The sequence below is a fragment of the Homo sapiens genome, chromosome 2, assembly GCF_000001405.40.
Source record: "Homo sapiens chromosome 2, GRCh38.p14 Primary Assembly".
Lineage (NCBI taxonomy): Eukaryota > Metazoa > Chordata > Mammalia > Primates > Hominidae > Homo > Homo sapiens.
In genome coordinates, this window is record NC_000002.12 from 112785895 (window position 1) to 112813329 (window position 27435).

Here is a 27435-nt window from a genome sequence, read left to right on the forward strand (position 1 = left end):
GCAATGTAAGTGTAGCACCAGACTAGGGTAGAAGCTTGGGTGTCTAAGGATGAATCCTGAAGCAACAGTGATGCCAGCCAACTGGCTACATTTCTGCTTACCTTGGTTCCTCTTTAGGCAACACAGAAATGTTAATCCTGATTAACCCTCTCCTCCTGAGAATCTTGTGAGGGCTATTGCTAAGGAACAATTGCAAAGCACATTGTGAATGTGAGCTGCTATGGAGATGCAACTAAACAAAAATAATGACAATGCTAATGATGGCTTCAGTCACTCAAGAACCTGTATAGTCATCATTATAATGCCTCAGTTCACCAAAGAAAATATAGTTCTTATGAAAATACTGGCTTGAAAGCTTCAACAGGGATAACATTTTCAGGTGAAGGCCACCATTGAAAGCCTGAAGATATTTAGCTTCTGGGAGCAATGCATACCATCTCTTTGGTAATCCAGGAAAAAAACCCTGGTTCCACCAACATAGGCAATACCTATCCTGGTCCCATCCTCACTCCTCTGTTGTAAATAATTCCCCAAAGGTGGTTGTTGAATTTTTCAAAGAGAACTTGGTTGAGAAACAGCTAACTTGGGTTAGAATATCACCCAACCTTTTCCTTCACATGATCTTCTTGTAAATTGATTTTTAAAGGAAAACTAGGGTGGGTGAGGTTCAGAGAGAGGTGGGTCCTTGCATTGTTTTGGGGAGCCCGCTTTTCTGGGACTGTGAACAACAGTCACCTCTTCTAGGGAAGGGACAGTGGAACGTACTGGGCAGGGCTCTACTGGGTAGATAGTGGAACATACTGGGCAGGCCTGTGGTGTGTGCGTTGGGAGCCATCCTGTGACAGGGACTTTGGGTGGCTTCAGGCACCCACCTCTCGACTCTGAGGAGGCCTCAGGAAACCCTTAATGAGTCACTGTCATCTAAATCATTTAGGAAAAAAAAATTATTGTGCACTTATCCTATGCCATGGGTTTTGCTAGGAATCAGCAGTTTTTCCCCATGATCCACAAAATCAGATATGCAAGGTGAGATGATCTATGTTGGTGGGTGACTGGATATGTTTTATAAGATTGGAGCTTGTGGGTCCAAAGAATCACTGTGATGCGTTTCATGTGACAATTGTTTTATAGTTTACCTGCACTATCTCACTGCCTCCTCACTGCACCTACAAGAATTAGCTGATACTATCCTCTTTCACAGCTGAGGACCCTTGAAGAGGTTAAGTGACCAACCCAAGATCACAAGACTGATGAAACCAGTGCTTGAACTCAAGCTTCTGATTCCGAGTCCAATCTTCTCTTTCCACTGCATAAAGATACTCGAGTCTCTTATCACCACCAACACCAAGTGATGGCTTATAAAGATCATCCTTAGGGTCTTTCCCCCTCAAACGTGCTATCATTCAGTAACTCTAGGATCCTTGTTAAAAAAAAAAAAAAAACGGGGGTTGCGGAGAAGGGATTGAAATATCTCCTCTCCCTGTCTTCACCTCCTCTGATGAAATCTGATTTTATTCTGTGATATGTAAGACCTGAATGAAGGTGACTGAAGTAATTGGGTACATGGTTAGTGGTGGAATCCGGATGTGAACCTGAGTCATGGTCTTGCCATTGTTCCTTGAAGACAGGAAATATTTGTAAATATATTTGGAAGCAACTTTAAAATTGTTGCATGTGGTTGGGTCTAACAGAATCACTTGAATGAAGAGAAAAACATAACTTTTTCCTGTGAATTTTCAGGGAAATGCAATTATTTCCTTTCACTTGGTATAAAAGCTCTTCAGAGGAATAAAGCATGCATGAGCCAACACATGCAGAGACAATTGAGCCTTTAGTCGCAACTCATGCTCTAGTTATAATGTGTTTTTAAATTCCATGATAGCTACAGAGAAGGAGGAAAGGACTTAACATAACAGCCTACCATGTTCAAGGGATTATAATACATTATCTCATTTAATCCTCTCATGAAACCTGTGAGGTAGATGTTCTTATCACATCTTACAGAAGAGGAAGTCATGGTCTAGAGAAATTAAGCAATCTGCCCAAGATTGCAAGGTTACCAAGTTTCCTAAATGGGATCCAGACACCAGGGCATACACTTCTTCAACCATGAGGATGTCTCTTTTGCTTAATGTAGCTGCTTCCTTTCCTGTGTTCTTTTAAATTAAGTTTTAATTATTCTGCTTTATCTTAGTTTATTGAAGGTTCCAGAATATGTTAGAGAAGGATGCATGTCGGAGACCATCTAGTTTAAACTCTTACTTTTATAAAAGAGGAAACAGGGTACAGGGGAAGTATGGCCCGAGGTCACATGGAGAATTCATATGAGAGTGTGAGGTAAAATTAAAACTCAATTTCTTGAGTTCTAGTTCAAAGTATCCTACTACTTAGTGACCCTGGTGCCTTAGTGAAGAGAGAAAGAAAAGAAGAAATAATCTCTAATGGCTTCTCACCCATAAGTAAAAAAGGAGTGGCTGGGTGCCGTGGCTCATGCCTGTAATCACAGCACTTTGGGAGGCTGAGGTGGGTGGATCGCCTGAGGTCAGGAGATCGAGACCAGCCTGGCCAACATGATGAAACCCCGTCTTTACAAAAAATACAAAAAATTAGCTGGGCGTGGTGACAGGCATCTGTAATCCCAGCTACTCGGGAGGCTGAAGCAGGAGAATCACTTGAACCCAGGAGGTGGAGGTTGCAGTGAGCCGAGATCATGCCATTGCACTCCAGCCTGGGCAAGAGTGAGTCTCCATCTCAAAAAAAAAAAAAGTTACAAAGAATGAAACCCCGTTAAGTAAGTAAAATCAGCTATGATTCCTGCTATCCTGAAAGCTGACAGTGAAGACCTTCATCAACACTTTTCTAAATGAGTAGATAATTACAAACTGAGATAAGCACGGTAAGGGCGTGTGACATAAGCACATGTCTTAGACTGGGAGTGGACAGTTCAGTGGAGAGCAAAGAGGGAAAATTCCAGGCTGAGATAAGTCCCTGGGGGTCAAAAAGGGTGGAAGTAGGTAATTGGGAGTCTGGAGCTCAGAGAGAGGAGGGGGAAGGAGTGAGGGGTATAGGAGTGGAGAGTGAGTTGGTGAGATGAGGATGAGGAGGAAAATAAGAGCCAGGTAGTCATGGCCTTATGTAGGCTCCATAAAGTCTTTACTCAAAGTTTAATGGGAAGCCATTAAGAGTGGTATATATTGGTGACACAATCAGCTTTGAGCTTTTAAAGGATCACCTTTGTGTTTGTAAACAATTTCTAGATTTTAAAGCAGTAGACAAAGGACAGAGATTATATAAAGAAATGAGAAAGCTTCCACAAAGTGTACATGGAAACCAGTCTTTCTGCCTTAACTCAAACTGTGTGATGAAGGCAGCAAGTGCTTGGGAGCCCAGAGAGTCAAGGGATGGCCATGGCTTGGAGGATATGGAGCAATTCAAGTGGGCTAAAATCTGAAGTCCATAGCAGGAAGGGACAGCTTCACGTTCAGTCAGCAAATTTCTATTTAGCTACAATTACCTCTTCACCTTAGCTCATCTGTTCTCTGATGGATGTGCTTTTTTTTTTTGTTTCTAAATTCCCTTTTCCTTTTCTCTGGAGATGGGTGATTGATGTAGTCTGGGTATTTGTTCCCTCCAAATCTCATGTTGAAATGTAATCCCCAGTGTTGGAGGTAGGGCCTGGTGGGAGGTGTTTGGATCATGGGGGCAGATCCCTCATGAATAGCTTGGTACTGTCCTCTCAATAGTGAATGAGTTCTCCTGAGATATGGTTGTTTAAAAGTGTGTGGCACTCCCCCATTGCTCTCTTGTTACTGCTTTCGACATGTGACATCCCTGCTCCCCTTCGCTCTCTGCCATGATTGAAAGTTTCCTAAGGCTTCGCCAAAAGCTGAGCAGATGTGGGTGCCATGCTTGTACAGCCTGCAGAACTGTGAGCCAAAATAAACTTCATTTCCATATAAATTACCCAGCCTCAGATATTTCTTTATAGCAACATAAGAGTGGCTTAATACAGGCTGGGCATGGTGGCTCACGCCTGTAATCCCAGCACTGTGGGAGGCTGAGGGGGGTGGAACATGAGGTCAGGAGATTGAGACCACCGGCTAACACGGTGAAACTCCATCTCTACTAAAAATACAAAAAATTAGTCGGGCGTGGTGGTGGGCGCCTGTAGTCCCAGCTACTCTGGAGGCTGAGGCAGGAGAATGGCATGAACCCGGGAAGCGGAGCTTGCAGTGAGCCGAGATTGCACCACTGCACTCCAGCCTGGGCGACAGAGTGAGACTCCGTCTCAAAAAAAAGAAAAAAAGAAAAAAAAAAGAATGGCTTAATACAGAAAACTGGTACTGAAGAATGGGGCATATAGCTATAAAGATATCTAAAAATGTGGAGTCAACTTTGGAACTGGGTAATGGGCAAAGATTGGAAGAATTTAAAGGGCTCAGAAGAAAACAAGAAGATGAGGGAAAGTTTGGAACTTCTTAGAGACTGGCTAAATGGTTGTGACCAAAATGCTGATAGTGATACGGACAATGAAGTCCAGGGTGACAAAGTCTCAGATGGAAATGGGGAATTTGTTGGGAACTGGGCAAAGGTCACCCTTGCTATGACTCAGCAAAGAAATTGGGTGCATTGTGTTCATGTCCTGGGGATCTGTGGAAGTTTGAATGTAAGAGTGATGACTTACGGTAGGGTATCTAGTGGAAGAAACCTCTAAGCAACAAAGTGTGTTGCTTAGAAATTTCTTTCTTTCTTTTTTTTTTTTTTTTGAGCTGGAGTTTTGCTGTGTCGCCCAGGCTGGAGCGCAGTGGCGCAATCTTGGCTCACTTCAAGCTCTGTCTCCTGGGTTCATGCCATTCTCCTGCCTCAGCCTCCCAAGTAGCTGGGACTACAGGCGCCTGCCACCATACCTGGCTAATTTTTTAGTATTTTAGTAGAGACGAGGTTTCACCATGTTAGCCAAGATGGTCTCAATCTTCTGACCTCGTGATCCACCCGCCTTGGCCTCCCAAAATGCTGGGGTTACAAGCATGAGCCACCCCGCCTGGCCTGCTTAGAAATTTCTAAGCCAGGATATGGCCTGTCTGCTTCTAACAGCCTGTGCTCAGGGGTAAAGAAATGACTTAAAGTTGGAACCTATGTTTAAAATGGAAGTAGAGTCTAAAAATTTGGAAAATTTGCAGCCTGGCCTTGTGGCAGAGAAAGAATCCAAGTAGGCTGCAGAGCAATCATTGCTAGAGAGATTAGCATGACTAAAAGGGAGCCAAGTGCTAATATTCAAGACAATGTTAAAAAGGCCTTGAGGGCATTTCAGAGATCTATGAAGCAGCCCCTCCCATCACAGGTGCAGAGGTTTGGTGCACTAGGCCCAGAGGTTTTATGGGCCAGGCCAGGGCCACACTGCTATGCACAGCTTTGGGACACTGCTGCCCGCATCCAGGCCACTCTGCTCTGGCTCCAGCCTTGGCTCAAACGGGCCAAGATAGAGCTTGGACCACTGCTCCCGAGGGCACAAGCCATAAGCCTTGGTGGTTTCCATGTGGTGTTAAGCCTGCAGGTGCCCAGAATGCAAGATTGAGGGAGCTTGGGCACTTCCACCTAGATTTCAGAGGATGTGTCAGAAACCCTAGGTTCCCAGGCAGAAGCATGATACAGGGGCAGAGCCCTTGCAGAGAACCTCTACTAGGGCAATGCCAAAGGAAAATGTGGGGTTGGAGTCCTCACACACGGTCCCCACTGGGGCACTACCTGGTGATACTGTGGGAATGGGGCTGCTGCCCTCCAGACCCCAGAATGGTAGATGCACTGGCAGCTGGCACCCTGAGCCTGGAAAAGCTGCAGGCACTCAACTCCAACCCATGAGATCAGCCACATGGGCTACTCCCAGGGAAGCCCACAGAGGCAGGGCTGTCTAAGGCCTTGGGAGCCTACCCCTTGAACCAGCTTGCAGGACATGGAATCAAAGATTATGTTGCAGCTTTAAGGCTTAATGTTTTCCCTGTCAATTTCAGGCTTGTGTGGGACCTGTTGCTTTTTTTTTTTTTTTTTTTTTTTTTGGTCACAGGTGTTTGAACCAGAACAATTCCATCTTGAATAGGGGCTGGGTAAAATAAGGCTGAGACCTACTGAGCTGCATTCCTAGGAGGTTAGGAATTCTAAGTCACAGGAGGAGATAGGAGGTCGGCACAAGATACAGGTAGCGAAGACCTCGCTGATAAAATAAGTTGCAGTAAAGAAGCCAGCCAAAACTCACAAAGCCAAAATGGTGATATGGTTTGGCTCTATGTCCCCACCCAAATCTCATCTCAAATTATAATTCCCATAATCCCCACATGTTGAGGGGAGGACCTGGTTGGAGGTGATTGGATTATGGAGGCAATTTCCCCCATGCTGTTCTGGTGATACTGAGTGAGTTCTCATAAGATCTAATGGTTTTATAAGTGTTTGGAAGTTCCTCCTACACACATGCTCACACTCTCTCCTGCAGCTTTATGAAGAAGGTACTTGCTTTCCTTTCTGCCATGATTGTAAGTTTCCTGAGGCTTCCCAGCTATGCAGAACTGTGAGTCAATTAAACCCGTTTTCTTTATACATTACCAGTCTTGGGCAGTTCTTTACAGCAGTGTGAGAACTGCTGGCGATGAGAGTGACCTCTGGTTGTCCTCACTGCTCATTATATGCTAATTATAATGTATTAGCATGCCAAAAGACACTCCCACCATGACCCCAACAGTCATGCCTGTGCCGGTCTCAGCACCATGACAGTTTACAGATGGCATAGCAACGTCTAAAAGGTACCCCATATGGACTAACAAGGGGAGGAACCCTCAGCTCTGGGAAGTGCCTACCTCGTTCCCAGAAAGCTTGTGAATAATCCACTGCTTGTTTAACATATAATTAAGAAATAACTATTAAGCATCCTTAGTTCAGCAGCCCAAGCTGCTGTTCTGCCTATGGAGTAGCCATTCTTTATTCCGTTACTTTCTTAATAAAATTGCTTTTACTTTACTGTATGTACTCGCCTGGAATTCTTTCTTGTACGAGGTCCAGAGCCCTCTCTTGGGTCTGGATCGGGACCCCTTTCTGGTAACATTTTGACCAATTTCTCCCTTCTGGAATGGGAATGTTTACACAATGACTGTATCACTTTTGAATCTTGGAAGTAAATAATTTGTTTTTGACTTTACAGCCTCATAGGTGGAAGGAACTTGACTTGAATTTCAGATGAGACTTTGGACTTTGGGACTTTTGGGTTGGGGCTGGAATGAGTTAAAAGTTGGGGGGATTATTGGGAAGGCACGATTTTATTTTGCAATATGAGAAGCACATGAGATTTGGGGGACCAAGGGTGGAATAATATGGTTTGGATGTTTGCCCCCTCCAAATCTCACATTGAAATGTAATCCCCAGTGTTGAAGTGAGGCCTGCTGGAAAATGTTTGGATCACGGGGACAGATCCCTCATGAATAGCTCGGTGCTGTCCTCTCAATAGGGACTGAGTTCTCACAAGACCTGGTTGTTTAGAAGTGTGTGGTACCTCCTCCCTCACTGTCTTGCTCCTGCTCTTACCATGTGACATGCCTGGCCCTCTTTGCCTTCTGCCATGATTGGAAACTTCCTGAGGCCCTCACCAGACACAGATGGTCGTGTCATACTTTTTGTATAGCCTGCAAAACCATAAGCCAAAATAAACTTCTTCTCCTTGTAAATTACTCAGCCTTAGGTATTTCTTTATGGCAACACAAGTATGGCCTAATACAGTGATGAACAGGACTGCTTCCTCTTTTTCTTCTTTTTTGGAGAACTGTCCTTCTTTCCCTCTTCATGGATGCCCTTTAAAAATCAGAGTTCCTCAGAGAGCTTCCGGTGTGGCAGTCATGTCTGTGCCCGTCTCTCACTTTTCTTACTAATTCTGGTTATCTCATCAAAAGTGCATTTTTAAGAAATTCCCTTTCCTTTTGAGTCATTTTCTTTAGTGGAGTCAAGGTTATCTCTGGTCTGAGCTTGTTTTTCAACTTCCAGGAATAGCTTGTATTACTTTTTTCAGATTCTAAAACATGTTCATTAAATTTTGCTGAGGAAATATAAAAATATAAAGAAGAAAAGAAAATCCGCAATTTAATAACTAGAGATAATCATTGTTATGACTCCATTGTCTTTTCTTTCAGTCTTTCTTTTTTTCAAGGCATATATAGATTTGTTTTTAGACAATTAGGACACTAAAAACTTTTTTTGATATTTGGTTTCCTGAAATCTAGAGAGCATACATGTGGTAGGCAGTGCTCACCAAATACCTGCTCATTTGAGAGATTACTCGATTAATGTCTGTCTTAATTTCCTGGTCTCCCTTGCAGTTTAGACTGGGGACATGTGTTTTTTTCTGGCCAGAGAACTGTGAGAGGAAGTGATAGATGAGGTGTTGCGTGTCTTGGCTGATGCAATCAAGGGCCAGTGTATGCCTGTGTCACATAAACTTGCCCTGATGCAGCAACTTTGGAAGTCACGTGTTCTAGAGAATGTGCTACAAATGAATTAGGTGTGGTTGCAAATGCATGAGAATAGAACGACCTGTATTAGATGTATTAAGTCACTGAGATTTCGGAATTTATTTGTTACTGTAGTATAACCTTTATCTCAAATTCCTCTTTCACAAATCATTTTCTTCTTGGACAGAAATATGCCTAGATTAGCATTCCTCTGTCATATTCTCTACCTTCTGGGAGATGAACTTTCCAATAAGACAAACCCAGAAACTAATCAGATGCTTTCATGTTGGCCAAATTTGGATTCCAGATTAAATATAAATTAGCTGTGAAAATAAAATGGCCAATAATAAAGTTGGTACTGTTAATATCCCAGATACAAATCATGTAATAAATATATTACTAATCTAACATTTATATGGTGCTTTACAGTTTTTCAAAGCATTTTTCATAAACATAAATATAAGCATTCAACCTGATACAAGGCTTTTTATCCATTGCAAATAGTCAACAGTGAAGTCCTGTGCCAGTGCACAGTTCTCTCCTTCCTCCTTTTGGTGTGAACTCCTGGCTGCAGGGGAGGAAGGGACCCTGGTTAGGGCAATTGTGGCCTCAGACTGGGAGTGGCAGGTGTGGCATACAATGTGGCTGGAGACGCAAGAGACTTGGATCCTCATCCTGGCTCTGATCCTAATGAGCTACGTGACCTCCGGCAATTCCCACATGTCTCTGGGCTTTCCTTATCTATGAAAGGAGGAGATTGGACTGGCTAACTACTGGGGTTCTTCCAGCCCTGTTCATTCAGTATTTCATGACTACCCTGAACATGACCATGTTTTGCTTCATGGCACCTCTATGCTCTTGATAGATTGTGTTTGGTTGCTCAGGACCCATGCTAGACACATTCTCCTCAATAGATCTTTGTCTCATGCACAGTTGAGTTACATATACATACATGCTACGCTCTTTCTGCTTTACTTCGATGGCAAATTTAACTTACCACCCTGAGTATAAATATAAATTTTTTCTAGTATAGAAATATGTAACAGTTGCTGATAAATTAGAAGGAAATGGCCATTTAGCCATGTGTGTTAAGTGATTATGACTTAGCTTTATTTTCTAGAAAGCTTGACATACCTGAAGGACCACTGGGGCCTTTGATGATCTTCAAGAAAAGGACGCTTAGGTTTTTGAGTTTGAAAGTCTGGACAAGTACTAGAGCATTTTGTTAAGAAAATGCACATCTTAAAAAAATATGATTATCGTTTTCCCTTTCTGTACTCTTCCCTCCATGGGGTCTTTGTGCTGCCCCTAATAGGCCATTCTATCCCATGCAAAGTTGCTCAAAGTTACTGTGGCTCCCCAAGAGAGAACGAGCAGGATGAGAGAGTCTGAGCCTGGACTCAGGAGGAAGACCCAGGGCCTGGGGGGAGCAGGTATTCCTGTAGAGCACAGTTCCATGCAAACCTGCCTGAAGCCAGCTTGGTAACCTGTTTTACAACTCTGTCATGCATGAGGCACTGTGTTAGAAGCCCTGGGGAATGAGGTGGCAAAGAACACCACTTGCCCTTAACAAGCTTTTAACTTGTGAGGAAGGCAGGTGGAGATGACTGTGATGCCAGCAGAATAGAGAAGTGTTATAACAGAAAGGAAACAGAGGGATGGGGAGGGAGCAAGTGAGGCTAACAGAGTGAACACAGGGACGGTTTCTCAGACATTGCTATGTGTTAGCTTGAAGAGTTAGATTTGCATAGTGGAGGGAGAATGGACATTCCAGGCTGAGGAAATAGGATGAGGAAAAGCATAAGACATACATTTCATGTTTGTTTCTCCTACTTAACTTTTTAGAGCTTCCATTGCCTCATCTGCAAAACTGGGATAGTAATTCTTGTTTTTTGTTTTTTTTTTGGTTTTTTTTTTGTTTTTTTTTTTTTGAGACGGAGTCTCCCTGTCACCCAGGCTGGAGTGCAGTGGCACGATCTCTGCTCACTGCAACCTCTACCTCCCAGGTTCAAATGATTCTCCTGCCTCAGCCTCCCAAGTAGCTGGGATTACAGGTGTGCACCACCATGCCCAGCTAATTTTGTATTTTTAGTAGAGATGGGGTTTCACCATGTTGATCAGGTTGGTCTTGAACTCCTGACTTCAGGTGATCCACCCACCTTGGCCTCCCAAAGTGCTGGGATTACAGGCGTGGGCCACTGTGCCTGGCCCTGGGATAGTAATTCTTACTTCACAGAGTTTTGGAAGGATGAGATTGTGTTTGTGAGACTGTTTGGTTTAGTGTCAGTTTCCTTTTCCTTCTCTCCAAATGTCCAGCCTTCCCCAATCTCTACACCTTTGCTCAATCTATTCTTCCTTTCAGATTTAGTCTCTCTCTCCCACCCATGGAATTTAGACCTTTCTTGGCCCTACTAGTCCAGGTCCTTCCTTGACTTAGGATGGAAAGCATAGATTTACTTCAGGGAATGTCAAATGTGGCTGGCCAAAAATAGAGTTAAAGCCCAATAAATTTGGAGTAGAATGCAAGCTTGTTAATAGTAGGTATAAAAGGCTGGAATAATTATTGAGGGTTATCAGTTCTTTCATTAATTCATTCACTGACTCCTTCATTCATAAAAGATGGGGATCTTTGATTCAGGAACATGCTTAGAGCTAAGGACTGTGTGGGAAATAAGAAAAGCGTGGTTCCTAACCCCATGGTGCATCCCTACTAGCAGAGAAACCATAAATTACACGTATAATCATGGTTGGGTGGCACATCAGTCTGTTTGTGCTCCTATAACAAAATACCATAGACTCGGTGGCTTATGAAAAATAGAAATTTATTTCTCACAGTTCTGGAGGCTGGGAAGTTCAAGTGCCAGCATATTGGGTACCTGGCAAGGGTCTGCTTTTTGGATCATAGACCATACTTTCTTGTTGCATCCTTACACGGTGGAGGGGACAAGGGAGCCCTCAGGGGTCTCTTTTATAAGGCTACTAATCCCATTCATGAGGGCTCTGCCTCCCAAAGAGCCTTCCTCCAAATATTATCACATTTGGGGCTAGGTTTTAACATATGAATTTTGGAGGAAGACAAACATTCAGTCTACAGCAGGTGGTCATTAAGAAAGGAGTAATACAGAGTGCTATGAAGATATATACTGGGGAGACCCTGATTAGTTTAAAAAGTCAGAGAGAGTCCCTGAGAAAGCAACATCATGAGTAGGAAGGGTAGGGATTAATCAGATGAAGGTGCAGGTAGAGATAGGGAGAGGGATTCATGTCTCAGGCAATGGGAACAGCACTTGCAGAGGCCCCAACACTAGAAGGACTATGGTGTGTTAGAGAACCTAAAGGAGGGCTAGGGAGGCAGAAGCCCAGAGAGCGAGGGGCAAGGGGCATGAGATGAGGCTGAAGAGATGGGCAGGGCCAGGCCATGGGCAACCTGTGAACATGTCAAGGGCAGTGGTTTATCCTGAAGGCAGTTTTGAGGTGTTTCAAGCAGGAGAGCAAGCACATCAGATTTGTATTTTAAAACAATCTATATACATCCAAAGGAGGGGGCAAATGTGGGAGAAGGTGAATGCAGTCATCCAGGTGAGAGCCGCGGGGATGTGCTTGAGAGATGTATCTTCTGGAGGGAGCAGCCAGGACACGGTGTTCTGAGGGGAAAATGCTTTGAAGTATGATGGGCCTGTGAGGCAACACCGGCAGGAGTCGCCTACATGAAGTTAGAGCTCAGAAGAGGCAGATGGGCTGGAGCTAGAGATGCGGCTCCTCTGCAGTGCGAGCCGTGAGAGTGGGTGGGGTGGCCAGGGAGGGTGTGCAGAGCGGGAAGGTACGCCCAGCAGCTGACCGACCAGTGTTCACCCAGGATGGGGCAGATGAGGGCCCCGGGAAGCAGAAGCCGGAAGATGGGAGGGAATGTGGAGAGTGTGATGTCCTGGAGACAAGGGAGCCGACAGCTGTGGTTCATCCACGTAGAGATAAAATCGGTGTGGTACACACCTCCCTGTGAAGCCAAAATCATCACCGGCTCCTCATTGCTGCTGGTGTTCCTCATTGCTCTTTCCAGCAACCTCTGGCCTGATTTCAGTGCCTTCTCTTCAGTCATTCAGTGCCATATTCTGCCCCCAGCTCTTTCTCAACTTAGAGGAAAATAGTCTGATAAAGTCTTTGATGAAAAATTCCTAGAACCTAATGTGGTACAACTTACAGGCACTTATGTCTTTCAAAAGATGAGTTTGGAAAAAGTAAGGCCTTACCTTGGGCCTGGGACCTTTGCCAAAGTGAGGGCTATTGACCCACTGAAAAAAGTAAATGCATGGGCATTAGGTACAATGTAATTTAAAATTTTGAAAATTAAGATTAGGCATTGTAATATTTTATTCCATTAGCCAGATGTGGTGATGCACACCCGTAGTCATAGCTACTTAGGAGGCTGAGGCAGGAGGATGGCTTGAGCCTAGGAATTCGAGGTTACAGTGAGATATGACTGCACCATTGCATTCTGGCCTGGGCAACAGAGTGAGACCCAGTCTCAAATAAATAAATAAATAAATAAATAAAATTCTTTATTCCATACTTGAAAGCAATGTTAAAAAAATCCATAAATCCAGTTCATACTAAAAGTAGAAGAGAGCAATAAAAGAATACATAAATGACAGACGGAGAGTCTGTCAGAGTAAGGAGAAAAGATTAGAGAGGTAGGTGGCATAGGGGCAAATTGTGCTGGGCCTTCTACGTTTAATATCTAGACTTTCATTAATGAGCAATGAGGAACCACTAGAGTGTTTTCAGCAGAGTAGTGAGGGGATGCAGAAGATTCTGACAGTGATGAACACAACAGATTACCACATGAAGTGAGTGAAGGCTGGGAGATCAGTCTGCTGCTCCAAGCGCACAAAAGGAGAGCCTGGGCCAGGGGAAGCGGTGATGGGCCCACCAAACTGATGGGAGGGAGGGTGGGAGAATGGATCTGGGGAGGGAGGGGCATCTGGGTATGCAGGAGAGCAGAAGGGGGACTCTAGGGTAATATCAAGATCTTGACTCTGGACCACAGAAATAGAGAAGTCTGGAGGAGGAAATGGTTTGGGGTGGAAAATGATGCTTTGGGCTTTAGACAATCTGAGTCACCATATGGGGCAGGTTTAACAGATAAGTATTTCCCAGATTTCCCCATAAGTGAGTTCTGCTTTGTCTGTGGACCCTGGGAATTTCTATAGACCTGAGCCAGGGGCATGTCAGAGTTTGGAAAGAAGGAGTTCTTAGAAATAGATAGAAAGTGTGGAAGTGACACATTTACCACCTCCTGGGTTTGAGGAAGGAAACTGGGCCTTCAGACTCTTGGTCTCAGATTTCCTTGAATGTAGCCTGAATAAGGCAGTGGGTTGTATTTCAAAGCCAAACTTGCAGTATTTAAAACCAGAGGGGGAAAGCGTGGGTTAATAAGTGCTATTTTGGAACCAACAAAGCATCTGAAAAATTAAAAAATAAAAAGGCAGCTGGGCGCAGTGGCTCACACGTGTAATCCCAGTGCTTTGGGAGGCTGGGGCGACAGGATCACTTGAGCCCAGGAGTTTGAGACAACATTGCAAGACTGGGCAACAAGCAAGACTCTGTCTCTACAAAAAATAAAAAAAATTAGTTGGGCATGGTGGTACATGCCTGTGGTCCCAGCTACTCCTAAGTTGACGAGGGAGAATTGCTTGAGGCCAGGAGTTCAAGGCTGCAGTGAGCTATGATCACACCACTGCACTCTAGCCTGGGTGACAGAGCAAGACCCTGTCTCTAAAATAATAATCGTAATACATTTTTTTTAAAGTAAAACAAAAAAAGGTCACACTTTCTCATACCAAAATAAATTCCAAATAAATTAAAGGCTTAAACATGAGAAAGTTAAACCATAAAATTACTAGAAGAAAATAAAAGCAAATATTTAGATAATCCTGGGGATAAATTTCTTTGGAATGAATTTCCTTAAGATGAATCTCTAAAAGTGAAATTCAGGGTTCAAAGGTCTTTTCTTTGTCCTTTTCTTTTCCCTTTCCCTCTCCCTTTTTCTTTCTTTCTCTTTCTTTCTTTCTTTCTTTCTTTCTTTCTTTCTTTTTCTTTCTTCCTTCCTTCCTTCCTTCCTTCCTTCCTTCCTTCCTTCCTTCCTTTCCTGCTTGCTTGCTTGCTTTCTTTCCTTCCTTCCTTCTTTCTCTCCCTTTCTTTCTCTTTCTTTCTTTCTTTCTTTCTTTCTTTCTTTCTTTCTTTCTTCTTTCTTTCTTCTCTTTCCTTCCTTCCATCTTTCTTTCTTTCTTTCTTTCTTTTCTTTCTCTCTTTCTCTCTCTCTCTCTTTCTTTTTTTTTCTGGTGAGACAGGGTCTCATTCTGTCACCCAGACTGGAGAACAGTCGCATGAACATGGCTCACAGCAGCCTTGACCTCCGAGGCTCAAGCGATCTTCCTGCCTCAGTCTCTCAAGTAGTTGGGACCACAGGCACATGCCACCATGCCCAGCTAACTTTTCTTATTTTTCATAGAGACGAGGTCTTACTGTGTTACCCCAGGCTGGTCTCAAACTTTTGGGCTCAAGCAATCCTCCCACCTTGGCCTTCCAAAGTGTTGGCATTACAGGTGTGAGCCACTGCACTCAGGCCAAAGTTCTCTTCAGTTGTAAGGTTTTTGGTACTCTATTGCCAAATTGTCCTCCAAAAAGGTTATGTCTTTTTACCCTCCTGCCAACATTATATAAAAGTGTCCACTTTTGTAGACTTTTACCAATGCTGACTACTTTTGGTTTCAAAAAAGCTTTCAGTAATTTTCTATTAATTACTTTTACCCTTTTTTATTGAGGGTGTTCAACTTTTTATTGTTAGCATATTCTCTCTGGGCTCCATTGGACGCCTTGGCAGCTTTTTGGTAGTAGGTGCCTTTAGAAAAGTCCTTCTCGTCTGGCCCTTTCTAAGCAAATCTAGTGAACAGAATTGGCTCTATGCTCAGCATTGCTTAATACGGTTGATCCAGGGCCTAGGACTCATTCCTTCATTACCATCCACTTGCATTGTCTTAAAGCAAGGCTCTATTAATTTAATTTGGCATTTCCTGTCCCAGCTCTTTAGTTTCATTAAACAAAGGCTTTAGAAAACTCCCAGTAGATGCCTATGTTGCTTCCTTTTAAAAAATTTTGGAGCTGTTTCCCTAGCCTAACCTTTTCTTCAGGGCAGGAGTTAAGTCCCTTCTACTGCATTCCTGTGAAGATGGTGATTCAAGAGGCAGGGCACCTGTTGCTTTGTGAAACAGTCCACTCTGCAGCTGGGCAGCTCTGTTACTAGAATGTTCTCCCTTCTGGGGAGCCAATATTTTGATGTCCTCTGTGAGTCTCATCTGCTTATCCCATCTGTTTATGTCCTTGAAGATGCACAGGTCTGACACCACGAGGTAGCCCTTAGAAATTTGATGGCATTTCTGATGTGTCCCCAACTCTTCTCCAACCACTCCTCCCAGAGCTTGTTTCTTAAGCCCCTTGTGGAGCTGATTGCTTTCCTCAAGGCAGCTCAGTTTTTCCCAGTTTGCTCCTGGTGGTCCTGAAATATGATTGACTCCTGAATACTCCAGGTGTGAAGGAGAGTGGGGGTGGCCTTTCTACTTGTCATGGCCTGGGTTTTAAGTTGCTGTCCAGTGGAGCAGAGGTGACTTTCCCAGTGAACTACATTTTTTCCCCTCTAAATCCTTAGCAATTTTGTCTCCAGAGGCAAGACCTGGCCAAACCATTTGTGTTGAGGATTGAATCAAGAATGATTGAGGAGATGACAGTAGTCCCCCCTCATCTGAGGAGGGCATGTTCCAAGCCCCTCAGTGAATGCCTGAAACTGTGGATAGTACCCAACTCTATATGTCTATGATTTTCCTATAAATTAATACATGCCTGTGACAATGTTTAATTTATAAATTAGGCAAAGAGGCCAGGCGCAGTGGCTCAAGCCTGTAATCCCAGCACTTTAGGAGGCTGAGGCCTCACCTGAGGTCAGGAGTTCGAGACCAGCCTGACCAACATGGAGAAACCCCGCCTCTACTAAAAATACAAAATTAGCTGGGCATGGTGGCAGGCGCCTGTAATCCCAGCTACTCGGGAGGCTGAGGCAGGAGAATCACTTGAACCCGGGAGGCGGGATTTGCGGTGAGCTGAGATCGTCTCATTGCACTACAGCCTGGGCAACAAGAGTGAAACTCCGACTCAAAAAAAAAAAAAAATTAGGCAAAGAAAGAAATTAACAACAATAAGTAATGAAATAGAACAATTCTAACAATATACTATAATAAAAGTTGTATGAATGTGGTCTCTTTCTCAAAATTACCTTTTTTTTTTGAGACAGGGTCTCACTTTATTGCCCAGGCTGGAGTGCAGTGGCACGATCACAGCTTACTGCTGCCTCGACCTCCTGGGACCAAGTGATCCTCCCACTTTAGCCTCCTGAGTAGCTGGGACCACAGGCATGCACCACTGTATCTGGATAATTTTGTTTATTTTTTTTTGCAGAGAGAGGAGGTCTCACTATGTTTCCCAGGCTGGTTTTGAATGCCTGGGCCCAAGGGATCCTCCTGCCTTGGCCTCCCAAAGTATTGGGATTACAAGCGTGAGCCACCATGCCTGCCCCAAAATTATCTTATTGTTCTATACCCACTCTTCTTCTTGTGATGATGTGAGGTGATCCATTGCCTCCTTGATGAGATGAAGTGAGGTGACTGATGTGGGCATAGTGATGCAGTGTTTAGGCTGATATTGGCCTGATGATATGTCAGAAGGAGGGTCATCTGCTTCGGTGATCCTGGATCATAGAGTCATGATGATGTCAATGGTTGGATGTCAGGAGCAGACGATGTCAATGACTAACGATAAGCTGGACAGGTGGGATGGTGGCACAAGATTTTATCACGCTACTCAGAATGGAGCACAATTTAAAACTTCTGAATTGTTTATTTTTGGAATTTTTCATTAATATTTTTGGATTGCAGTTGACTGTGGGTAACTGAAACTGTGGAATGTGAGACTGTGGAAAAGTGAGGGAGTACTGTATTATGGAACTGTAACTCTATTCGGTAGGGGAACAGAATTCACATTTGTGGGGCCCAGGTCTCTGCATCTGTAGGGATCCAGTTGTTTCATTTCTCGTTGTAGCAAGAACTTGGCTTTGGAATCAGACAGATTGATGTTTTCTATCATTCTAAATGGGTGCAGCTACACTTTCCTCAGGAGGTAGTTCTGAAAATTTAACAAAATGTGAATTTCTTGGTAAAAAAAAAAAACCTCAAAAATATTCAGTTTCCTTTCCTTTGTGTCTGATGTACTCCATCAAATACTTGGAAATATGTTTCTCTCATAGAAATGTCATTGATCTTTGTAATTCTGATTATCCACAAACCTTGGGGATTAGCTGTTTCAATGTTCCTATTTTACAGATAAGAAAATGGAGCCTGTGGTAAGTTAAGTGAGTTACTCATGGCTACTTAACTAATATTTTACTAGGTGATAGGCCAGAGCTAGAGCCCAGGTCACCTTCTTATCAATGCTCTGCCTTGTCTCTGTGCCTTCCTGTCTGTCTGTATGTGTATGTGCCTGTTGACAGTAAGGCATAGTTTAACCCAGTAGAACTACCGGTTTGTAATGAATTCCACTTGTAAATGACTGACCATTCAAGGAACAAGTGTTTTTTCTATGCTTGACACCTGTTTTGGATGCCAAAAAGGATACAAATGTAACTTCAGACACTCTGGGCCTCATTTTGCACTCATTAGCATGTCCAAAATTAAAAAGACTGACCACACCAAATATTGGTGAGGATGTGGAAGAACGGGAACTTTCATACACTGCTGGTGGGGATGTAAAATGGTACAATCCCTTTGGGTAACAGTTTGACGGTTTCTTAAAAAGTTAGACATATATATTTACCATATGACTCAGCCCTTCCACTTCTAGGTCTTTACCCAAGAGAAATGAAATGCTGTGCTTTTACAAATGTCTATACAGGAATGTACATAGCAACCTTATTTGTCATTGCAAAAAACAGAGACAATTCAACGTTGTCAAGAGTGAATGGATGAGCAAGCTGTGGTCTGTCTATGCAATGGTATCCTACTCAGCAAGACAAAGAGATGGGCTAAGGATACGCACAGCCATAAGCATGAATCTTGACATAATTGGGCTGAAAGAAGCCATACATGAAGGAGTATATACTCTGTCATTTTATTTATGTAAAATTCTAGAAAATGTAAATGAGCCTATGGAGACAGAATGCATCAGTAGTTGTCTGATGTTAGGGGGCAGGGAGTTGGGAGAGAGGGGTTACCAAGGGGCGTGAGGAAATTGGGAGTGATGGATATGTTCATTATTTTGACTGTAGTGATAGTTTCACTGGTGTGTACATTTGTCAAAATTATCAAATTGCATACTTTACATTTGTGTAGTTTTTTCAATGTTAGCCGTACCTCAATAAAGCTGTTAAAAGACTATACTGGCTGGGTGCAGTGTCTCATGCCTGTAATTCCAACACTTTGGGAGGCTGAGGCCAGAGGATCACTTGAGCCCAGGAGTTCGAGACTAGCCTGGGCAATACAGAGAGACCCAGTCTCTACCGAAAAAAAAAAAAAAAAAAAAAAAAAAAAAAAAAAGCCAGGCCTGGTAGCATGCAACTGCTGTCCCAGCCACTTGAGAGGCTGAGGCAGGAGGGTCACTTGAGCCTGGGAGGTGAAGACTGTACTGAACCATGATCACACCAGTGCACTCTAGGCTGGGCGACAGAGTGAGACCCTGTCTTTAAAAAAAAAATAAGAGAGACTCTCTGGACCTCATGGTTGTGCGGATGTAAAGGAATTGTAGTAACAGTAATTCCAATTTCCCTAGTTCCTGTTCTCTTCTGACCAAGAACTTGGAGCTGCCAGCTAGTCTCAGCCTGGTGTATCTCGGAGTCCTCAGAGGCCATCTTACATGAAAATCGGTCTTGCAGCTACAGTCCCCCAGGCACTGTTCCTGTTATTGCTGAGAGCTCATTGCCTGTGAAGCTTCATGATGGCCCAGCACTCGCCCTGCTGCTGCTGACCAGGGGAGAATGCGGGTGTCCACTGTGGAGGCCTCTCTCCTCTGAGGACCCATGTGTGTGTTTTAAGGCCTGTGGCCATTCTGCATTCGGGTAGGAAAGAGGGCATCTCCCTGGTACTCACTGTGTCTTGGGCACTTTTTTACACTCACATCTCACAGTGAAAATAACGCCTCCAAGCCTCTTTCTCTGTGACCTCCCATGGCTGAGCAGAGACAGCTGCTAAAGAAACGTACTGTGCTGTTTTCTCACGCCCCATTCCTCCGCGTGTTCTCCCCGCCCTTGCATACAGATCAGTTCATACTCATACATGACTTCCTGCTGCTTGCCCTGTCAGACCACCTGACATGTCTGGACGAGTCTATCCTAGCATGGGCACGAGGCCTCAGCTGGGCATTCCCTCCCCACCGTGGGGCCAGGTCTTCATGGCAGCTTCCCCGGCAAGTACCACGTACAAAAGACTTTTCCATTTCCCAGTGCCTCTTCTTGGGCTCCAACTTAGAGGTGGAAGAGCCAGAAGGAGGGGAAAGAGGTGAAGAAAGAGTGAAGGATGGACCTGCTGCCCTTCCCCGGAGCTGTGGGTCGGGCTGAAAATTGAATGGGCTGTGGGGTTGATGTTTTTCTTTTTTTCTCATCCCCCAACCTCAATTCTCATCATGACATTTTCCAAACATACAAGTTAAAAATGAGCATAATGAATATCTGCAAACTCAACTTCCAGAGGTTTTAATTTTTTTTTTTTTTTTTTTTTTGAGATGGAGTTTCACTCTTGTTGCCCAGGCTGGAGTGCAATGGTGTGATCTCGGCTCACTGCAACCTCTGCCTCCCGGGTTCAAGCAATTCTCCTGCCTCAGCCTCCCGAGTAGCTGGGATTACAGGCATGCACAACGCCCAGCTAATTTTGTATTTTTAGTAGAGACGGGGTTTCTCCGTGTTGGTCAGGCTGGTCTCGAACTCCCAACCTCAGGTGATCTGCCTGCCTCAGCCTCCCAAAGTTTTAATTTTCGAATATAAGTTTTGAGTGGACTAACCTGGAATGAGTTTTAATTACTAAAATGAGACTTTTATCTTCTTTTTCAAAAATCCAGTTAAAAAATAATAGTATTATTATTTTGTGTTTTTTAAAAAAGATCCAAGTTCTACATGTAAACAGTCAAATGGTTTTACAAAATTTGTTGCAAAAAATAATCAGATTCTTGCCCTCTTCCCCCATCTCTCGCTTCCTATCTGGTGTTTAGTGCTTGTTTCTTAATGACCGCTTTTACTGTTACTTCTTGAATTTTGAGTTTTACGTATTAACAATTATCTTTAGAAAATGAGGATTTAGGTTCTTTGTCCTGCCCTAGTCTATACCACACACATCCACATTTCCTACCTCTTGATCTTCCTAATGCAATTATATCTTCATTTTCTTAGACTAGTAATGAGTGCTTGTATCATTATGAATATGTGCTATTCAGAAGTGAACCATTAGTAAACTAGGTATTTTTCTTTGTTTTTTTTCCCCCTTATTTGCATAGTTTCCTATGTACTTATCATGAAGGCTGGATATAGTTTATATTGGTGGTCTTCTTTAAGAAAACAAATATAAAATTGTAAACACAAAATTAGGTATAGGGTCTTGGAAAGGACTCTTGCAGATTAAGTGTTCTGAAATTTAAATTTGATTAACTTTACAGTAAATCCACCTCTGATTATCATTAATTTCACTTTAAACTTTTCACGAATTATTTAAATCTCCTCTTAAGACATTCAGATGTATTAGGCAGTTTCTTTTTATCTTAGGAAAAAAAAATTCCTAGCGCTCTCTGACCTGCTCCAAGTTGGACTGGTGGCTCCTTGTTGCTGTGCCTGCTTTCATCCTGGGATCTCCCTTCACCATCAGGATTGCCTTCACCTCATTCCAGTCTTGGATCTTTCTTCTTGTTTCTTGAGTATTTTTTTTTTTTTTTTGCTGCATTCCCTTCAGTGGCCTCTTGGGAAAAGATGTGTAGGGAGAAAAATTTTCTTTAGAAACTTGCATATCTGACAATATATTTATCCTATCCTGACATTTGGTAGATAGTTCAGCTGGGTACAGAATTCTAATTAATTTTCCTTCCTGATTTATAAGACATTGCTCCATTTTCTTCTGGCTTCCAATATTGCTGCTGAGAAGTCTGACACCATTCAAATGCCTGATTTTTTCCATGTGATTGTTGTTTTCTGTCTGGAGTGTTGTAGGATTGCCTCTTTATCTACAGTGTTCTGAAATTTCATGACGTAGGTCTTTCTTCATTCATTATGGTAGACACTCAGTGGGCCATTTAATCGGGAAAAACATGTGTTCTTCAAGTTCTACAAACTTTATTACTTCCTTTTTCTTGTGTCTTTCTCTGGTCTGTTTTCAGCCCCGAGTCTCTTAGATCTGTCCTCTAATATTCCTATTGACTTTACTTCATTTTCTAAGTCTTTATCCTTTTGCTTTACTTTCCGAGAGACCTGCTTAACCTTATCTCCCAACTCTTTTATTGAATTTCATTTCTTTTACTATATATTTTTTACTTTGAATACACCTCTCTCTTCCTCACATTTTCCCCCATAGTATTTTGTCTTCAATTGACAGTTCTACTATCTTATTACTCTGGAGATATTAATAATAGTTTTTAAATTTTTATTTATTTTTATTTTCAAAACAGTGTCTTACTCTGTCACTCAGGCTGGAGTGCAGTGGTGTGATCATGGATCACTGCAGCCTTGATCTCTGAGCTCAAGCTATCCTCCTGCTTCAGCCTCCCAAGTAGCTGGAACCACAGGCATGTGTCACCATACCCAGCTAATTTTTTTGTTTTTGAGGTGGAGTCTCACTCTGTAGCCCGGTCTGGAGTGCAGTGGTGCAATCTGGGCTCACAGCAACCTCTGCCTCCTGGGTCCTGGTTCAAGCAATTCTCCTGCCTCAGCCTCCTGAGTAGCTGGGATTACAGAAACACACTACCATGCCCAGCTAATTTTTGTATTTTTGTAGAGACAGGGTTTCACCATGTTGGCCAGGCTGGTCTTGAACTCCTGACCTTGTGATCTGCCCACCTTGGCCTCCCAAAGTGCTGGGATTACAGGCGTGAGCCACTGCACCCGGCCACTAATTTTTAAATTGTTAATAAAGACGAGGTCTTGCTATGTTGCCCAGTATGGTCTTGAACTCCTGGGCTTAAGTAATCCTCCTGCCTCAGCCTCCCAAAGTGTTGGGATTACAGGTGTGAGCCACTGAATCTGACATTTTTTAAAAGTTTTCTTCTCTTTACCAAGTCTTTTTTCCCCTTTCTGCTTTTTTGGGTTGTTTTATTTTGATCTCTATCTTGCTAGAAACTTTCTGCAGACGTTTAGTAATACTAGATTTTTGAGAGTGGGCAACTGGAAAGCTGATTGGAAACTCTGAATACATGGGTGAGGCTTGTTGGCTGTGAGTGTCATTGCTTGATGTCCTGGCAAGGCCAATGGGTTTGGGACCCCTACTATTAGTATAGGCCTGATTCCCTGGGAAAGGCTCTTTTGATCTCCTGCCTGGAGGATAAAGGCCTGGCTACCAGCCTTCTGTGTGTAATGTGAGGGAGAAGGGCTGGAGTATTCAACATCATGCTGAATCCTTTCAATGATCATCTTGTTTTTAGTAATCTCCTACCTTAACTCTCTGTCTTCTGCTAGTATGGGAAAGATGACCTGAAAATCTAACCATTTATTTTTCCCCCATTAATATCATTTTATGATTATTCAGAAGTTAAATAATTGTCATGCTGTCCTCCAAAAAGACTGAATCAACTAGCAACAAATAAGAATTTTCTCACAGCTCTGCCAGCATTTTAAAAGAATAGCTTTATTGAGCCCAGGAGGTCAAGGCTGCAGTGAGCTGTGATTACACCACTCTACCCCAGCCTGGGTGACAGAGCAAAACCCTGTCTCAAAAAAGAAATTTAAGGAACAGCTTTATTGTTGTAAAATAGACATACAATAAACAGAGCACATATTTAAATTGTGCAACTTATACTTTGATATAACCCTGTGAAAACATCACCACAATCAAGATAGTGAATATATTTATCACCTCCTGATACAGTTTAGCTCTGTGTCCCCACCTAAGTCTCATGTTGAATTGTAATCCCCAATGCTGGGGGAGGGGCTTTGTGGGAGGTGATTGAATTGTGGGGGTGCACTTCCCCCTTGCTGTTCTTGAGATAGTGAATGAGCTCTCATGAGCTCCCCTTCACTCACTCTCTTTCCTGCTGCCATGTGAGGATGTGCTTGCCTCTTCTTTGCCCTTCTGCCATGATGTGTTTCCTGAGTCCTCCCTAACCATGCCTCCTGTACAGCTTGCAGAACTGTGAGTCAGTTAAATCTCTTTTCTTCATAAATTACCCAGTCTCAGGTGGCTCTTTATAGCAGTGTGACAAGGAACTAATATACCTCCTAAGTTACCTCAAGCTTCTTCTTAATTCCTTCTCCTCCCTTCCTTCATTGCCAAGCAAACAACCACCTGTTTTCTGTCACTATAGATTAGTTTACATTTTGTGGGTTTTTTTTTTTTTTGAGACAAGGTCTCACTCTGTTGCCCAGGATGGAGTGCAGTGGTGCGATCATAGCTCATTGCAGCCTTGAACTCCTAGTTTCAAGTGGTCCTCCCACTTCAGCCTCCTGAGTACCTGGGACTACAGGGGTACACCACCACAACTGGCTTAAAAAATTTTTTAAATAAAAATGGGGTCTTGTTATGTTTCTCAGGCTGGTCTCGAACTCCTCGCCTCAAGCAGCCCTCCCTCCTTGGCCTCCCAAATTGTTGGGATTACAGGCATGAGTCATGACTCCTGGCCTAGTTTACATTTTCTAGAGTTTTGTATAAATGGAAACATACAGAATGTATTTTTTTGCGGAGTGGGGGAGTGTTTCTATTTCTTTCTTTCTTTTTTCTTTTTTTTTTTTTTTTGAGACGGAGTCTCGCTCTGTCTGTTGCCCAGGCTGGAGTGCAGTGGTGCGATCTCGGCTCACCGCAAGCTCCACCTCCCGGGTTCAAGCAATTCTCCTGCCTCAGCCTCCTGAGTAGCTGGGACTACAGGCGCCCGCCACCACACCTGGCTAATTTTTTTTGTATTTTTGGTAGAGACGGGGTTTCACCATGTTAGCCAGGATGGTCTCGATCTCCTGACCTCGTGATCTGCCCGCTTCGGCCTCCCTAAGTGCTGGGATTACAGGCGTGAGCCACCGTGCCCGGCCCAAGTGTTTCTATTTCTTAACCAGCTTTCATGCAATCTTTTTTTATTTTACCATCTCTGTGATCCCACTCCCAAAGGTACTAGATGTCGATTGGTCCTTAGGATCAGCTACCATTTGCCCAACTGCTTTCCAGCCTTCCAAAAATTTTTTTCTTTTTTTCTTAAAGATACTCCTGTGTGAGGCTCAGAACTCTTGAATTGCTACTGCAAATATGAACTCGGTGATGTGAATGCCAGGGAATTGCCTGATTGATCAAAGAAATGTATCCCCTTCTCCCTCACTCTTGCTGTCTTCTCATTTGTTTTCCCCATCCTTGTGGATTCGTGAATTTAAATATCCCTTTAATGTTATAATATTTTAATGGCGTTTGGCGAAAAGTACAGAATTAGGTGCAAGAGTGCATAGCTGTTATTTTTTTTTTTGGCCTCTGAGACTGTTCATATATGCAAGTTATTTAACAGAAAGTTCTGCAGTGACCTGAGATGTCAGGGGGGTCTGATAGAGTACGTTTGAAGGCAGTTACTGGAAAAAAATAATGCCATTTCTGGTTTGTACTTCGGTAAGTTCAGATGACCCAATATATTGTTTACATGTGGCATTCAGTAAAAAAGTAGCTTCCCCTCCCTTTCTTCTTCCTTTTCTCCTTTCCTGCTTCTATAAAGCATCTGCTTTGGGAAACTTCTTAGGAGGAGAGCTTGCCAGCCCGTGGGTAATGGAGAGGTCTTGCAGAGATAAAAGAGATGCTCCCACTCAATGCAGGATGGTGTGGAGGTAAATGGGGATATGTCTGGCATCACTCAGGAATGGGCCTTCCTGGCAGGGAAGAGAAGGGAGGGGAAAGAGGAAGGGAGTCAAAGATGAATTGCTGAATACGGGGATTCCAGGGCCTGGAGCCAGGAAGAGAACTTTGGGAGGTGTGAACCTGGAGGGCATCAGCTGATGAGGAGCAGCCTGAAGTCCGGGGAGGACCTGTTTTTGGTGGCCAGGAAGAAAGTGCCTTCCACACACAGGGAGGCCACAAGGCTGATGGGCTGGGGGTTGGAAGGACAGCCCTAGGACAGGCTTGGGAAGCAGGCTCAGGTAGGGACTGTGAGGTTCTTGTTGAGTCTTTTTCATTCCTGGTCTTAGAAAATAGAATCCAAGGCCTCTTGAGAGTGGAAGGTGGGTTGGGAGGAGGGCAGATGGGGCTTAGGCCCAGGACACCCGTAGAGCTACTGCCCAGCTGTCTCTCAGGGACTCTGCTGAGGTCACTCCAAGGATCATTCTTAGCCTTGCTAGACAGTACTGACAGAGGGAACCGTAGTATCGCACCCACTTCCTTCTCTTTCAATGAAAGTTTAAAGGTCACCATTTCCTCTGGCAAAGGAAGTTCCACAAATATTCCATTTCCGGTCTTAGAAACAGCAAGGTATCAAGCAATTGCAAACTTCCTGTGCTGGGGAATTCCCAAGGAAGTAGGGGCAGAGTTCTGGTGGAGACAAAGTGAATTCCGAGTGATTAGTCAGTAGCAGTAGCAGTAGCAGTAGCAGTAGCAGTAGCAGTAGCAGTAGCAGCAGCAGAACCAGAATTTCCCCGCACGTGTCTCAGGCTCTCATTTGCCAACTCAGTCTCTAAGTATTTTTATTGGCAGGAAAAATAAAATAGCTATGAGTGAAATAATTCATTAGACCTGAGCCTCCATCAATTTTGTGTTTAAAGGCCTGACTCTCTTTACCTTTCCCTGGGATGGAAGATGCAAATGTTCCTGATGTCACTGTCAAAAAAGAAGAACCAGTGGGTATATTGTATGCTTGAGTTCCAGCCATTTGTCACAATAGATAGAGATGACTGCCATGTGTGTAGACTTTCTATAGACTGTGTGCTAAACCCGACCTGCCACTTCCAAGGAGTAGATGAGGAATGTCCATGGTTCTGGGGAGCCCTACCCCAATTTGGGGCAGACATTCCAAAGCTCATTTTCTGTGGAGGGGGTTGATGGTTAAAGGACGGCCTGGGAGTAACTCGTCTGTACTAGGGCCCAGGAGAGTTACATGCTGCTTCCCATGTTATTCATCATTCCCCCATGTGAATAGCTATGGCGTGAGGTCCAAGGTTAGGGCCTTTCTACCATAAATGGGGGAATAAAATTCCCCTACCAGCCTGAGAAGTTTCTGTTATAAAGAGGCCTTTTTTTTTGCGGGGGTGGGGGAGCAAGCCGACTAATGTGTTATTTCCATACGGTTTGTTTTAAAATGTAGACGTCATATGCAGGAGAGGTGGTGTAGTGAGTCACAACGGGATTAGAAGGACCAGTCCGAAAAGCAGAAGAGGGTCAAGTTCAGGGCACGGAGGACTACTGCATTCAGTGGCGTGAAAGGCAGATGGCTGAACAGGAGGGGGACATTACATTGCTTGTTCTCCTTGAGCCTCGATTTCCTCATCTAAAAAGAGGGTCATTTATTCACAGAACATTTATTAAACTTGTGCCAGGCACCGTGCCAGGAGCTGGACTAAAAATTAAATCCACCCCTGTGAGCTGCTCTGAAGGCTAAAATATGAAGTATGTAAAAGTAACCAAGTGCTGTACACATGCAGCTATTCAATGACTGTGTGGGCATTGCGGCAGATTTTAATTTTCTTTTTTATTTCTTTCTCTTTAGTGAGAGGTGTTGG

At 43.6% G+C, this 27435-nt stretch overlaps 9 annotated features.

Annotated features, from left to right (window-relative positions):
- Nucleotides 4398–4692: an enhancer, noted in NCBI's record as "tiled region #10892; HepG2 Activating DNase matched - State 8:EnhW". NCBI's record gives its function as "activates a minimal TATA promoter and a strong SV40 promoter by Sharpr-MPRA in HepG2 cells {active_cell/tissue: HepG2}" and the evidence as "EXISTENCE:reporter gene assay evidence [ECO:0000049][PMID:27701403]".
- Nucleotides 7701–7790: an enhancer, noted in NCBI's record as "active region_16400". NCBI's record gives its function as "activates an Ori minimal core promoter by ATAC-STARR-seq in GM12878 lymphoblastoid cells {active_cell/tissue: GM12878}" and the evidence as "EXISTENCE:reporter gene assay evidence [ECO:0000049][PMID:35858748]".
- Nucleotides 7821–7870: an enhancer, noted in NCBI's record as "active region_16401". NCBI's record gives its function as "activates an Ori minimal core promoter by ATAC-STARR-seq in GM12878 lymphoblastoid cells {active_cell/tissue: GM12878}" and the evidence as "EXISTENCE:reporter gene assay evidence [ECO:0000049][PMID:35858748]".
- Nucleotides 8162–9361: an enhancer, noted in NCBI's record as "BRD4-independent group 4 enhancer chr2:113551633-113552832 (GRCh37/hg19 assembly coordinates)". NCBI's record gives its function as "activates an origin of replication core promoter dependent on BRD2, P300/CBP, MED14 and CDK7 cofactors, and independent of BRD4, by STARR-seq in HCT116 cells {active_cell/tissue: HCT116}" and the evidence as "EXISTENCE:reporter gene assay evidence [ECO:0000049][PMID:35650434]".
- Nucleotides 17957–18016: an enhancer, noted in NCBI's record as "active region_16402". NCBI's record gives its function as "activates an Ori minimal core promoter by ATAC-STARR-seq in GM12878 lymphoblastoid cells {active_cell/tissue: GM12878}" and the evidence as "EXISTENCE:reporter gene assay evidence [ECO:0000049][PMID:35858748]".
- Nucleotides 19414–19523: an enhancer, noted in NCBI's record as "active region_16403". NCBI's record gives its function as "activates an Ori minimal core promoter by ATAC-STARR-seq in GM12878 lymphoblastoid cells {active_cell/tissue: GM12878}" and the evidence as "EXISTENCE:reporter gene assay evidence [ECO:0000049][PMID:35858748]".
- Nucleotides 19606–20106: an enhancer, noted in NCBI's record as "H3K27ac hESC enhancer chr2:113563077-113563577 (GRCh37/hg19 assembly coordinates)". NCBI's record gives its function as "activates a minimal SCP1, AML or CMV promoter by ChIP-STARR-seq in primed H9 embryonic stem cells {active_cell/tissue: H9 hESC(primed)}" and the evidence as "EXISTENCE:reporter gene assay evidence [ECO:0000049][PMID:30033119]".
- Nucleotides 19754–20093: an enhancer, noted in NCBI's record as "active region_16404". NCBI's record gives its function as "activates an Ori minimal core promoter by ATAC-STARR-seq in GM12878 lymphoblastoid cells {active_cell/tissue: GM12878}" and the evidence as "EXISTENCE:reporter gene assay evidence [ECO:0000049][PMID:35858748]".
- Nucleotides 25719–26918: an enhancer, noted in NCBI's record as "P300/CBP strongly-dependent group 1 enhancer chr2:113569190-113570389 (GRCh37/hg19 assembly coordinates)". NCBI's record gives its function as "activates an origin of replication core promoter dependent on BRD2, BRD4, P300/CBP, MED14 and CDK7 cofactors, with strong dependence on P300/CBP, by STARR-seq in HCT116 cells {active_cell/tissue: HCT116}" and the evidence as "EXISTENCE:reporter gene assay evidence [ECO:0000049][PMID:35650434]".